The sequence below is a fragment of the Homo sapiens genome, chromosome 13, assembly GCF_000001405.40.
Source record: "Homo sapiens chromosome 13, GRCh38.p14 Primary Assembly".
Classification (NCBI taxonomy): domain Eukaryota; kingdom Metazoa; phylum Chordata; class Mammalia; order Primates; family Hominidae; genus Homo; species Homo sapiens.
This window is the reverse complement of record NC_000013.11, coordinates 112,785,264-112,799,479: the sequence shown is the minus strand read 5'-3', so window position 1 is coordinate 112,799,479 and position 14,216 is coordinate 112,785,264. Positions and strand designations below refer to the sequence as shown.

General features: G+C 48.0%; 1 protein-coding gene and 1 long non-coding RNA gene across 14 annotated transcripts in view, besides 1 other annotated feature; both read right to left on the bottom strand.

Moving 5' to 3' along the window:
* The window catches only part of ATP11A (ATPase phospholipid transporting 11A), a 197,131-nt gene that overhangs the window by 87,689 nt on the left and 95,226 nt on the right, over nucleotides 1-14,216 (bottom strand). The window lies entirely within an intron of this gene.
* LOC124903252 (uncharacterized) lies at nucleotides 3,793-14,216 on the bottom strand. The gene is made up of 2 exons (XR_007063947.1): nucleotides 13,567-14,216; nucleotides 3,793-13,197 (listed from the first exon to the last, which is right to left on the bottom strand). It is a non-coding gene; the product is annotated as an uncharacterized LOC124903252 (long non-coding RNA).
* Nucleotides 8,679-9,398: an enhancer, noted in NCBI's record as "NANOG hESC enhancer chr13:113444396-113445115 (GRCh37/hg19 assembly coordinates)". NCBI's record gives its function as "activates a minimal SCP1, AML or CMV promoter by ChIP-STARR-seq in primed H9 embryonic stem cells {active_cell/tissue: H9 hESC(primed)}" and the evidence as "EXISTENCE:reporter gene assay evidence [ECO:0000049][PMID:30033119]".

Below are 14,216 nucleotides of genomic sequence, written 5' to 3'. Positions count from 1 at the left end.
AACCACCTTTAACTGTAATTTTCCACTACATACCCAAATCCTATAGAACTGCCCCACCTCCATCTCCCTTTGCTGACTCCTTTCTCGGACTCAGCCCACTTGCATCCAAGTGAATAAACAGCCTTGTTGCTCACACAAAGCCTATTGGTGGACTCTCTTCACATGGACGCGTGAGACATAAAGGTCCATTAGATCCAAGGGACTGATGGTGCTGTTCAGTTCAACCGTGTCCTTACTGATTTTCTGCCTGTGGACAGAGGTCATGAAGTGTCCAAATATAACAGTGGATTTTCTTTCTCTTTCCAGTTCTATCCGTTTTTGCCTCACATATTTTGACCCTCTGTTGTTACAGAGACTTTGAGAATTGTTATGTTGTCTTGGAGAACTGACCTCTTTGTTGTTTGGCAATGCCCCTCTTTATCCCTGGTAACTTCTCTTGTTCTGAAGTCTGCTTTGTCTGAAATTAATATAGCTAATCTTGTGTCCCTTTGAGTAGTAGCAGCATGGTACATCTTCCTCTATCTCTTAAACCCGTGTTTTTATATTTAAAGTGCCTTTCCTGCACACAACATATGGTTAGGTCTTGTTTTTTCTATTCTGACAGTTTCTGTATTTGGTTTATTTAGACAATTCACACTTAAAGTGATTATTAATATAGCTGGATTAATATTTACCATATTTGTAACTGACTTTTATTCCTTTCTTCATAGTCTTTGTTTCTTTTGTGACTTATACTCTTTTCCTGCCATCTTGGGTTTTAATTAAGCATTTGATGTGACTATTTTCTCTCCTGTCTTAGAATATCAACTATACTTATTTTTTAAAAAAATTACTTAGTGGTTGCACTAGAGGCCACAATATACGCCCACTCTCACATAACCCGCACTGTGTGTGTGGCGCAGATTCCTCGCAACAGCATGCCCAGTTCCTTCTTGCCCCCCAGGGCACTGCTGTCATACATTTCATTCACCCCTGAGCAATCACCACTGAGTAAATGCTATTATCATTCTGAATAAAGTACTCTCTGTTAGACCAATTAAGAACACGAAAAGCAAGCTGGGTGCTGTGCCCTGTAATCCTAGCACTTCAGGAGGCTGAGGCAGTGGATCCCTTGAGCCCAGAAGTTCTAAACCCGTCTGGGCAACATGGTGAGATCACGTCTCTAAAAGAAATAAAAAACAACAAAAAAGCAAAATATTTAATTTTACTACCTTCACTTATTCCTTCTTGCTATGGTTTGAATGTGTCCCCTCCAAAATTCAGGTGTTGCCAATGTGACAACTAGTCACGGTCCCAGGAGGCGGGGCCTTCAAGAGTTCTGATTCCGCCATGCGGGCTCCTCCCTCATGAATGGGATTAGGTGCCTGTATAAAAGGGCTCGGCAGAGGGAGTTTGCCCCTTTGCCCTTTTGCCTTCTGCCACATAAGGACACAGCCTTCCCCCACTCCAGAGGATGCAGTGCTCAAGGAGCCATCTTGGAAGCAGAGATGGGGCCCTCACCAGACACCAAACCTGCCAGTGTCTTGATCTTGGACTTCCCAGACTCTAGAACTGTGGGGAAATCAATGTCTCTTCTCTATAAATTACCCAGTCTGTGGTATTCTGTTGTAACAGCACAAAAACTCACACTTTAGTGCTGTGTTCTTCTTTCCTAAGTAGACCTGAATTTCTGACCTATATAATTTTCCTTCTTTCTGAAGAACTTTTAACATTTCTTGCAAGGGAGGTCTACTGGCAATGAATTCGCTCAATTTTTGTTTGCCTGAAAAAGTCTTTATTTCTCCTTCACGAATGAAGGATAATTTTATGAGATACAGAATTCTGGGTTGCTGGCTTTTTCTTTCAACACTTTAAATATTTTACATTATTCTTTTCTTCCTTAGATGGTTTCTGGAAGAAAGTTTGATATAATTCTTACCCTTGTTTCTCAGCAGGTAAAATGTTCTTTTCCTGTGGCTTCTTTCAAGATTTTTTCTGAGTCTAATTTTCTGCAATTTAAATGTGATATGTCTAGGTGTACCCTTTTTAAAAAATTTATTCTGCTTTTGTATTTATCTCTGAGCTTCCTGGATCGGTAGTTTGGCATCTGCCATTAATTTTGGAAATAGCCACTTTTACTGGAGATATTTCTTCTCTCTTCTTTTGTTTTTTTCATTATGCATATATGGTTTACCTTTTTTTTTTTTTTTTTTTTTGAGATGGAGTTTTCACTCTGGCTGCCCAGGGTGGAGTGCAGTGGTGCTATCTTGGCTCACTGCAACCTCTGCCTCCCAGCTTCAAGGGATTCTTGTGCCTCAGCCTCCCAAGTAGCTGGGATTACAGGCACCTGCCACCACACCTGGCTAATTTTTTTAAAAAAAATTTTTATTTTTTGTATTTTCAGTACAGACGGGGTTTCACCATGTTGGCCAGTCTTGTCTCAAACTCCTGACCTCAGGTGATCTGCCCACCTTAGCCTCCCAAAGCGCCAGGATTACAGGCGTGACCACCGTGCCTGGCCTGCTTCACCTATTGTAGTTGTCCACAGTTCTGTTCTGTTTCTTCACTCTTTTTTCCTCTTTGCTCTTCAGTTTGGAAAGTTTCTATGGACATGTCTCAAGGTCACGGGTCCTTTGCACACCACGTCAGTCTCTGAGCAGCCTGTATTACAAATCCCCGATGTGGCTAGGGCAGGTGTATGATTCTATGGGCATGTCTCAAGGTCACGGGTCCTTTGACACCGCGTCAATCTCCGTACAGTCTGTATTATAAATCCCCAAAGTAGTTAGGACAGGTGTATGAGTTTCTTATGCTGCTATAACAAATTCCACTTTGTGACTTAAAACAATGCAAATTTATTACCTTACTGTTCTGGAGGTCAGAAGTTTGCAATGGGATTCACTGGGTTAAAATTAAAGTATCAGCAGGGCTGGTTCCTTCCTGGAGGCTCCAGGGAGAAACTTTTCTTGCCTTTTCTTGCTTCCTGCAGAGGCTGCCTACATCCTTTGGTCCCCTTCAACCTCTGAAGCCAGTCGTAGCTCGGACAGTCTGTTCTGCCTCCCTCTTCCACTTACAAGTGCCTCTGTGGTTACTTTTGGCCACATGAATAGTTCTATAATCACCTCCCTATTTTAATGTCAGCTGTTTGGCAATCTTGATTCCCTGGCCACAGACAGTGTCATAGTCAGAGGTTCTGGGGATCAGGATGTGGACATCTGTGGGAGGCCATCCTTCTGCCTGCCACACTAGGTTTTCTTCATGGGAATGCAACCAAATTGAGAACCAAAAGGCAAGAGCTCTGGATGGAAAAGTAGCCATACAAACTGAGACAGAGTAGAGAACACATGGCTAGCTCTTCATTTCTTTTGTTTCTCATTCAGAAAAAAAGCAAACAAAAACACCAGATTGCCAATAAAAGTATAGGCACTTTCTTCCTTTACAAAAACCACAATCTTAATTCACAATTTGCTAACCCCACCTCAAGATAATTTAGGTACTCTATCGAAATTCTGGAAATATTTACTCTTTAGCATACTATGAAACACATAGACTTCAGAGTCAGTCCCCATATTCGATCCTGACCCTGCCATTTAAAAACCATGTAAACTTCAGCAAATTATTTAATGATTCTGAGTTCTAGTTTTCTTGTGTATACAACTTGGCAAACATTACACATGTGATCGACCTTTTTAAATATTTGAGAAAGATATATTTTCTCTCAAATGGGCCACAATGAAAAAGTCAGTTACTCTCCATTAGCTTTTAAAAGGATACATTAAAGAAATACCTTAGCTCACCCATGTGAGGCCAGTCTTACTTTCCAGCATCCAAGCCAACAAATTTATTACAATTATACGTTTCCACAAATTTCTATAATACATCACTCAGTAACAAAGTCACATTAATGAAAAAAGAGTCTACTTAAAATTCCACCTTTCATTTACTGAAGTACTTTCAGATGAAAAGTACACGCTGTCCAGGATTCCTTCCAAAGGACCCTTGGAACTACAGTGAAGGTGCAGATGCAACAGGCTGGCCACAAGCTGGGAACTGTGACAGTGGAGACGAGCCACAGAGATTTACAATGCTCCTCTCTATGGTTTTGAAAGTTCCCATGTTACACGAGGAAGTTCTGGTAATATTTATGAGATAAAATATGATCTGCAATCCTTCCAAACATGCAGATCTACTTCCATCAGGCCTGGAAGGCTGTGCAAACTCATGGACTTGCCATAACTTATTTATTTATTTATTTTGAGATGAAGTCTCACTCTGTCGCCCAGGCTGGAGTGCAGTGGCGCCATCTCGGCTCACTGCAACCTCTGCCTCCCAGGTTCAAGCGATTCTCGTGCCTCAGCCTCCCGAGTAGCTGGGATTACAGGCAACCCCCCAAGATGCCCGGCTAATTTTTGTATTTTTAATAGAGACGGGATTTCACCATGTTGCCCAGGCTGATCTTGAACTCCTGACTTCAGGTGATCCACCTGCCTCAGCCTCCCAAAGTGCTGGAATTACAGGCGTGAGCCACCGCACCTGGCAGGGCCTTGCCATATTTGAATGTTACTGTACAGCTTTGGAATTTGAAACCACCTGCATGATTGCTTTATTCTTTTTTTCTTTTCTTTTCTTGAGACAGGGTCTTACTCTGTCTGTCACCCAGGCTGGAGTGCGTTGGCACAATCTCGGCTCACTGCAACCTCTGCCTCCCGGGTTCAAGCGATTTTCCTGCCTCAACCTCCCGAGTAGCTAGAAATACAGGCGCCCGCCACCACACGCAGTTAATTTTTTATTTTTTGGTAGAGACAGGATTTCACCATGTTGGCCAGGCTTGTCTAGAACTCCTGACCTCGTGATCCGCCCGCTTCGGCCTCCCAAAGTTCTGGGATTACAGGTGTGAGCCACTGCGCCTGGCCTCAATTGCTTTATTCTAATCAGGCACTGAGGGCTGCAGCCAAGCCCCATGATGCTGTGTAATCTCTATGTTTCACAGAGTAAGTTATTACTGCTGACCACTACTATTGTCAAAAGGAGGGTTATTAATTCCTGGTGATGTCTAACAAGAAAAGTGAAATCCCAGGGAACTCATTTAAAGGGTCGTGACTGCACTGACACAGCAGTACCATCGGGATACAATCAACTGAAATGAGCATTTTATTCCACACGTTAGAGTGGGAAGGCTGACAATGGTGGACAGTTATCCTTCGCTCATCGTTGTTGAATTGTAAAAATGTAAGTATTTGCCTGGGGACACAATGTAATGTAACACTGGGCCCTTCGACTGTGATACAATCAGTAGACGTCCTCAATCCTAGGAGCTCCTGGCGTGAAAGCCACAGCATAGAACCAAGTGGTTTTCCTCCTACAGGAAATCTGGGAAAACCGAGTGGTGCTTGGCACCTCTCTTCACCTCCAAAGACACCATGTGTTTTGCTGAATGACACGGGACAGTCATTCTTTTCGTTTCTCACTTGTACGACAGACGCCATAGCCAGAGTCCACAGCTGCCCTGGCTCTGATTTTGGCCCTGAGCTGGAACGCCTCACTAGTGTCTGAGCCTCAGGTTTCCGCTGCCTCCTGCCCCTTGGGGTAGCCAGTCTCTGTTTTGTGTTACTTGCCAGCAGTGTGGTGTGCAGACAGGGAAGAGCATGGCCTCACCTGGCCTGCCTCTGGCCTCTGGCTGCGAGACGAACCCGGGCACTGTCCCCTGCCAGCAGCCCAGGCGCCCGCAGGAGCACCTACAAGCTGTCTGAAGCCTCAACTAGTGTTCACCTGAACACAGCTCCAGCACCACAGGGCCCACCTGACAGTCCTGAAAAAGGCGGGGACGCCGGACACCCATCTGCTTGGGACAAGCAGCCACTCGCATGGAACTGAGGTCACTCTTTTGTTTATGACCGGGAGGCAGGGATGCAAAACACAGAAAATTATGCCAGGATGGTGGATTGCTGATGCCGGAAATTCGTGAGCACCCAGAGGGGCTGTTAAGAAACGTGCCCCTGGATGGGCGCGGCGACTCACGTCTGTAAACCCAGCACTTTGGGAGGCCGAGGCGGGTGAATCACCTGAGGTCAGGAGTACAAGACCAGCCTGGCCAACAATGGCAAAACCCCATCTTTGCTAAAAACATAAAAATTAACTAGGTGTGGTGGTGGGCACCTGTAGTTCCAGCTACTTGGGAGGCTGAGGCAGGAGAATCACTTAAACCCGGGCGGTGGAGGTTGCAGTGAGCCAGGATCGCACCATTGCACTCCAGCCTGGGCACAGAGAGAGACTCTGTCTCAAAAATGAAAAGAAAGGGCCCCTGGCTCTGCGGAAGGAAGTCCAAGCCCAGTGCCAGACTACAGGGGCTCTATCCTCTTCTGTGGCCTCAGGCACATGACTGAGCTCTAAGCCTCAGCTTCCTCATGGATACATTGGTAATAATCAGTATTGGTGGGCTCACAGGGTTGTTTTAGAGATTACATGATATAATAAACATGGAAATCATTTATACAAATAGAAGTCATGAAAACACTGGCTATACCTACGAATTGCAGAGGGAATTTTTTCTCCCCAATTACCAGAAGGATTCAACTTTCTTGAAGGCATGGAGGGACAGTATAGTCTAAGCCAACATTTAATTCTGTAGCCTCCTGTGGGCAAAGCTGGGAACCATGTGAATTCTGTGCCCCAAAGTACAAATCTGGAAAAGGAGGCATGCAGTGATCCATCCCTTTGTGGAGTTCAGGATTCCCCACGTGGGGGGTGCAAGCAGGCCTGGGGGAGCTCTGCACAGCACAGGAAGCAGGGAACGGGGCGTGCTGGGCTGTCATTTCAGGTTTTGACACTGCCCAAAGTCTCTCCCCCAAGAAGGAAACAAACTCTATCATCACCTATCACCAGTAACTGCACTTCCGTCAAACAGATGAGAAGTTAAAAATAACCCGACAGCATTTTCATCCTCTATTACGACTTCTTCCATGACAAAGGCTTTCATCCTTTGATTTCATAAAAGCAAACTTGCTGAGAACAAGCTTCTGTGGCACTTAAAAAGTCTTAACTACTAGCATTTCTTTTTTTTAGGTAGAAATCATTTCCTCCGCCACCCCAGGAAAACATAGATACATTATCACAAATGTATTCTCCAAAATCAGTCGTAAACTTAGGTCTTACAAATTAAACAGCATTTTTTTTTCACACATCCTGAGCTGTTAAATGAAAACAATTATGAGTCATCAATTCCAGGCTCGAGAATTCCACTTTGGTTTACCTGGATCAAGGTTACTGTCAGGCCAGCTACCTGCCTAGATTCCAGACTCCAGCCTTTCTGAGGGCCTTTCCTTCCTGAGTTCCATTAGCAAAAGAGGTATTGCCGGATGTAATTTTCCCTTGAAATTACACAACCTCATCCACTTGAAACTGAGACTAAGCTACTAATCCCACCTCTGTGAAGAGCGAAGATCTCAATGCATGGGCGGATTTGAGAGCCCCCTTCTGTCCTCAGAGGTTGAGATGAAAGGCGGCCAAGTGCTCTCCTGGCCCCGCCACACCCTCCACCTGCACGCAGACGGCGCTCCTGAGAGCCTGTTGACCCCGGTCTGTGCGTTCCTGAGTGAGGGCTTCCTGGTAGGAAGGAGACTTACGGCTTCTCAAAGGTCCTGGAAAGCAGCAATAAGCCCACAAAACCCATCCTGACAACCTGCAGGGCTCCCCGGATCAGAAACTGAAGAGACCTTGAGGGGCTCCAGTTCCACAGGGAGCAGCGGAGAGGAAGGGCCCAGCCGAGGGGGAGAGAGGGTAGCACAGAGCCAGGGAGCAGGGCCAGGCGGAGCGAAGCCACCGAGGCCACTGCCTGCAGTGACGTTCGAAACGGACAGTAGGAAAAGGACAAAACTTGAATGACACAGCAGAGGGGTCAGGAGTGGGAGGCAGAATTCGCCATGCTCTGTCATCTCCTCCAAAGCCGCCATGGGCAATGACAGAAGTGCAGCTTCCCGCCAGCCCCTGCCAGGGGTACCAGGACCCTCCTCCAATGCCTGGATCAAGCTCTGCCGCTGCTGCTGGTTTCTTCCCTGTGACCCCACACAGCACCCTCATCTGCAGGGAGAACCAGGCATGTGGGGCTGTCGGGCGAGCTCCGCCCCAGGAAGGGAGAAGCCAGCTCCCAGGGGGCAGGCTGGGTGATGCCTTCACGGCCCCCATCCGGCTCAAATGAGCCACACTGTGCAGGGGGCGCCGCGGTTCCACACGCCCATCACCCATATCCTGGAATCCTGCCCTACAAGTCCACAATGGCACCGTATGTGGACACCTGGGTGCTTCCTGCCTCTCTGTACCTCTGGGCTGCGCAGGCTGAGTTCTAAGCAGTATGTTTGGGATTTGTTTTGGGCTGGAGGGTGGGGGATGGGTGAAGTACATATAAGCTTGGAAACCATCTTCAGTGAGCTCCGCCTGAGACTGCGTCGACTTTGTAAGTATTACCACTGCAGAGACAATATTTTGGATGTGATTTCTCATCAGTACATTTCTCCTTCCATGAATCATGACTGGGAAACCACCCACAGGACTTATCTGGTTGGGACTTTGTTTTTCAGCATTTACATATCCTGTTTCTAGAGGTTAAAGCTATTAAAATTTTTTGCAATCCTGTAGTTACAAATTAATCCCATAAAAAAGGCTTTGAAAAGGTGACCTTTTCTGTTGTAAAATATTCTTTAAAAATGTGCAACTCTTCAAGAGCACATAAATAATTAAGAACCACAGGGGTCTACATGCCAGGATGCTTGAGTGTGAATTAAGTAAGTCTCCACAGGAGTCTACACATCAGGACACCCGGTGTGGATTAAGGAGGTCTATCGCAGGGGTCTACACATCAGGACACCCGGTGTGGATTAAGGAGGTCTATCGCAGGGGTCTACACATCAGGACACCCGGTGTGAATTAAGTAGGTCTCCACAGGAGTCTACATGTCAGAATACCCGGTGTGAATTAAGCAGGTCTCCACAGGGGTCTACACATCAGGACACCCGGTGTGAATTAAGTAGGTCTCCACAGGAGTCTACATGTCAGAATACCCGGTGTGAATTAAGCAGGTCTCCACAGGGGTCTACACATCAGGACACCCGGTGTGAATTAAGTAGGTCTACACAGAAGTCTACATGGCAGGACACCCGGTGTGAATTAAGTAGGTCTACACAGGGGTCTACACGTCAGGATGCTCAATGTGAATTAAGTATGTCTACATAGGAGTCTACATGTCAAGATGCCGGGTGTGAATTAAGTAGGTCTCCACAGGGATCTACATATCAGGACTCCTGGTGTGAATTAAATAGGTCTACATAGGAGTCTACACATCAGGATGCCGGGTGTGAATTAAGTAGGTCTCCACAGGGATCTACATATCAGGACTCCTGGTGTGAATTAAATAGGTCTACATAGGAGTCTACACGTCAGGATGCCGGGTGTGAATTAAGTAGGTCGCCACAGGGGTCTACAGGTCAGGATGCTGGGTGTGAATTAAGTAGATCTACACAGGGGTTTACACGCCAGGACACCCGGTGTGAATTAAATAGGTATACATAGGAGTCCACACGTCAGGATGCCAGGTGTGAATTAAGTAGGTCTCCACAGGGGTCTACACATCAGGACACCGGTGTGAATTAAGTAGGTCTCCACAGGGGTCTACTACACGTCAGGACACTCGGTGTGAATTAAGTAGGTCTCCACAGGAGTCTACACATCAGGACACCCGGTGTGAATTAAGTAGGTCTCCACAGGGGTCTACACATCAGGACACCCGGTGTGAATTAAGTAGGTCTCCACAGGGGTCTACACGTCAGAATACCCGGTGTGAATTAAGTAGGTCTCCACAGGGGTCTACATGTCAGAATACCCGGTGTGAATTAAGTAGGTCTCCACAGGGGTCTACGCGTCAGGACACCGGTGTGAATTAAGTAGGTATCCACAGGAGTCTACGCATCAGGACACCCGGTGTGAATTAAGTAGGTCTCCGCAAGGGTCTACACATCAGGACACTGGTGTGAATTAAGTAGGTCTCCGCAAGGGTCTATATGTCAGGATACCGGTGTGAATTAAGTAGGTCTCCACAGGGGTCTACATGTCAGAACACCGGTGTGAATTAAGTAGGTCTCCACAGGGGTCTACACGTCAGGACACTCGGTGTGAATTAAGTAGGTCTCCACAGAGGTCTACACATCAGGACACCTGGTGTGGATTAAGGAGGTCTCCACAGGAGTCTACGCATCAGGACACCCGGTGTGGATTAAGTAGGTATCCACAGGGGTCTACACATCAGGACACCTGGTGTGAATTAAGTAGGTCTCCACAGGAGTCTACACATCAGGACACTCGGTGTGAATTAAGTAGGTCTACCACAAGGGTCTATACATCAGGACACCCGGTGTGAATTAAGTAGGTCTACACAGGGGTCTACACATCAGGACACCTGGTGTAAATGAAGTAGGTCTACACAGGGGTCTACATGTCAGGATGCTCAATGTGAATTAAGTATGTCTACATAGGAGTCTACACGTCAAGATGCCAGGTGTGAATTAAGTAGGTCTCCACAGGGATCTACATATCAGGACTCCTGGTGTGAATTAAATAGGTCTACATAGGAGTCTACACGTCAGGATGCCGGGTGTGAATTAAGTAGGTCGCCACAGGGGTCTACAGGTCAGGATGCTGGGTGTGAATTAAGTAGATCTACACAGGGGTTTACACGCCAGGACACCCGGTGTGAATTAAATAGGTCTACATAGGAGTCTACACGTCAGGATGCCAGGTGCGAATTAAGTAGGTCTCCACAGGGGTCTACACATCAGGACACCCGGTGTGAATTAAATAGGTCTCCACAGGAGTCTACATGTCAGAATACCCGGTGTGAATTAAGTAGGTCTCCGCAGGGGTCTACACATCAGGACACAGGTGTGAATTAAGTAGGTCTCCACAGGAGTCTACGCATCAGGACACCGGTGTGAATTAAGTAGGTATCCACAGGAGTCTACGCATCAGGACACCCGGTGTGAATTAAGTAGGTCTCCGCAAGGGTCTACACATGAGGACACCGGTGTGAATTAAGTAGGTCTCCGCAAGGGTCTATACATCAGGACACCGGTGTGAATTAGGACACCGGTGTGAATTAAGTAGGTCTCCACAGGGGTCTACACGTCAGGACACCAGTGTGAATTAAGTAGGTCTCCACAGGGGTCTACATGTCAGAATACCCGGTGTGAATTAAGTAGGTCTCCACAGGAGTCTACACGTCAGGACACCCAGTGTGAATTAAGTAGGTCTCCACAGGAGTCTACACATCAGGACACTTGGTGTGAATTAAGTAGGTCTCCACAGGGGTCTACACATCAGGACACCCGGTGTGGATTAAGTAGGTCTACACAGGGGTCTACACATCAGGACACCCGGTGTGAATTAAGTAGGTATCCACAGGGGTCTACACATCAGGACACTTGGTGTGAATTAAGTAGGTCTCCACAGGGGTCTACACATCAGGACATCCGGTGTGAATTAAGTAGGTCTCCACAGGAGTCTACGCATCAGGACACCCAGTGTGAATTAAGTAGGTCTCCGCAAGGGTCTACACATGAGGACACTGGTGTGAATTAAGTAGGTCTCCACAAGGGTCTATACATCAGGACACCGGTGTGAATTAGGACACCGGTGTGAATTAAGTAGGTCTCCACAGGGGTTTACACGTCAGGACACCGGTGTGAATTAAGTAGGTCTCCACAGGGGTCTACACATCAGGACACCCGGTGTGGATTAAGTAGGTCTCCACAGGAGTCTACGCATCAGGACACCCGGTGTGAATTAAGTAGGTATCCACAGGGGTCTACACATCAGGACACTTGGTGTGAATTAAGTAGGTCTCCACAGGGGTCTACGCATCAGGACACCCGGTGTCAATTAAGTAGGTCTCCACAGGGGTCTACACATCAGGACACCCGGTGTGAATTAAGTAGGTATCCACAGGAGTCTACGCATCAGGACACCCGGTGTGAATTAAGTAGGTATCCACAGGGGTCTACACATCAGGACACCCGGTGTGAATTAAGTAGGTCTCCACAGGGGTCTACACATTAGGACACTGGTGTGGATTAAGTAGGTCTCCACAGGAGTCTACGCATCAGGACACCCGGTGTCAATTAAGTAGGTCTCCACAGGGGTCTACACATCAGGACACCCGGTGTGAATTAAGTAGGTATCCACAGGAGTCTACGCATCAGGACACCCGGTGTGAATTAAGTAGGTATCCACAGGGGTCTACACATCAGGACACTTGGTGTGAATTAAGTAGGTCTCCACAGGGGTCTACGCATCAGGACACCCGGTGTGAATTAAGTAGGTCTCCACAGGGGTCTACACGTCAGGACACCGGTGTGAATTAAGTAGGTCTCCACAGGGGTCTACGCATCAGGACACCCGGTGTGAATTAAGTAGGTATCCACAGGGGTCTACGCATCAGGACACCCGGTGTGGATTAAGTAGGTCTCCACAGGGGTCTACGCATCAGGACACCCGGTGTGAATTAAGTAGGTCTCCACAGGGGTCTACACGTCAGGACACCGGTGTGAATTAAGTAGGTCTATCGCAGGGGTCTACACATCAGGACACTTGGTGTGAATTAAGTAGGTCTCCACAGAAGTTTACACGGCAGGACACCCAATGTAAATTAAATGCGTCTACAGGTGAGGGCACACGTGTGAATGGTGGGCCGCCACAGGCATCCCCATGTGCAGCCCGTCCACGCGTGTGCGTGGGTTTAGCTCATCCATTTTGAAGGACGGTGAAGATAAATGGAGTCTGAATGCAGGCACGTGCGTTCCGCATTACCTGGAAAGCACAGTTTACCCCATGTGCAGCCCGTCCACGCGTGTGCCTGGGTTTAGCTCATCCATTTTGAAGGACGGTGAAGATAAACGGAGTCTGAATGCAGGCACGTGCGTTCCGCATTACCTGGAAAGCACAGTTTACCCCATGTGCAGCCCGTCCACGCGTGTGCCTGGGTTTAGCTCATCCATTTTGAAGGACGGTGAAGATAAACGGAGTCTGAACGCAGGCACGTGCGTTCCGCATTACCTGGAAAGCACAGTTTACCCCATGTGCAGCCCGTCCACGCGTGTGCGTGGGTTTAGCTCATCCATTTTGAAGGACGGTGAAGATAAACGGAGTCTGAACGCAGGCACGTGCGTTCCGCATTACCTGGAAAGCACAGTTTACCCCATGTGCAGCCCGTCCACGCGTGTGCGTGGGTTTAGCTCATCCATTTTGAAGGACGGTGAAGATAAATGGAGTATGAATGCAGGCACGTGTGTTCCGCATTACCTGGAAAGCACAGTTTACCCCATGTGCAGCCCGTCCACGCGTGTGCGTGGGTTTAGCTCATCCATTTTGAAGGACGGTGAGGATAAATGGAGTCTGAACGCAGGCACGTGCGTTCCGCATTACCTGGAAAGCACAGTTTACCCCATGTGCAGCCCGTCCACGCGTGTGCGTGGGTTTAGCTCATCCATTTTGAAGGACGGTGAAGATAAATGGAGTCTGAACGCAGGCACGTGCGTTCCGCATTACCTGGAAAGCACAGTTTACCCCATGTTTAATGGCAGCAGCTAAATTTCCACCTTGTTCTTAAGACCTGTTTCCAGGTCACTCTCTGAACGTGGGAAATGTGTGTGCACTTCCACGCTCTAGTCCATGGAGAGAAACACGCTTCGTTTAGACCGCGGCACTCTGCTTGTGCTTCCTACGCTTTACCTGGGCTGCACCTCGTGAACAAGCTCAAAGATTTCCCCCCAGGTTTTGCTGTCCAGCCTGCGTTTGTTGGCTCTTTCTCCGGGGTGGCTGGTATCGTTTCTACCTTACTGGCACTGAGACTCTGGCCAGGGTGGCCCACGACAAGCACGTGGCCAGGCGCCTCAGAAGTGGGACCTGGGTAGGGTTTGGATCCTGGACTTCAGACCTGCACTGCCTCTGTGGCACGGTCACCCGAGAATGGAGACACTGCGCTGTGAGCCCTGGGCAGGTGGAAAGCCTCCTGTGGGCAGTCACCGAGAGGGAGAGAGTAGCGCCCTCGGTGAGGTCCTGATCCGAAGCCCTTGCTGGGGGTGGCTGGTGGCTGTGACAGCAGGGCCAGGAGCAGAGCCGCTCTTTGAAACCGAGAAGCACTAACACCCCCCGGCAGCTGCTTTTTAGACACATTATGGACACTCAGACCCAAGCCA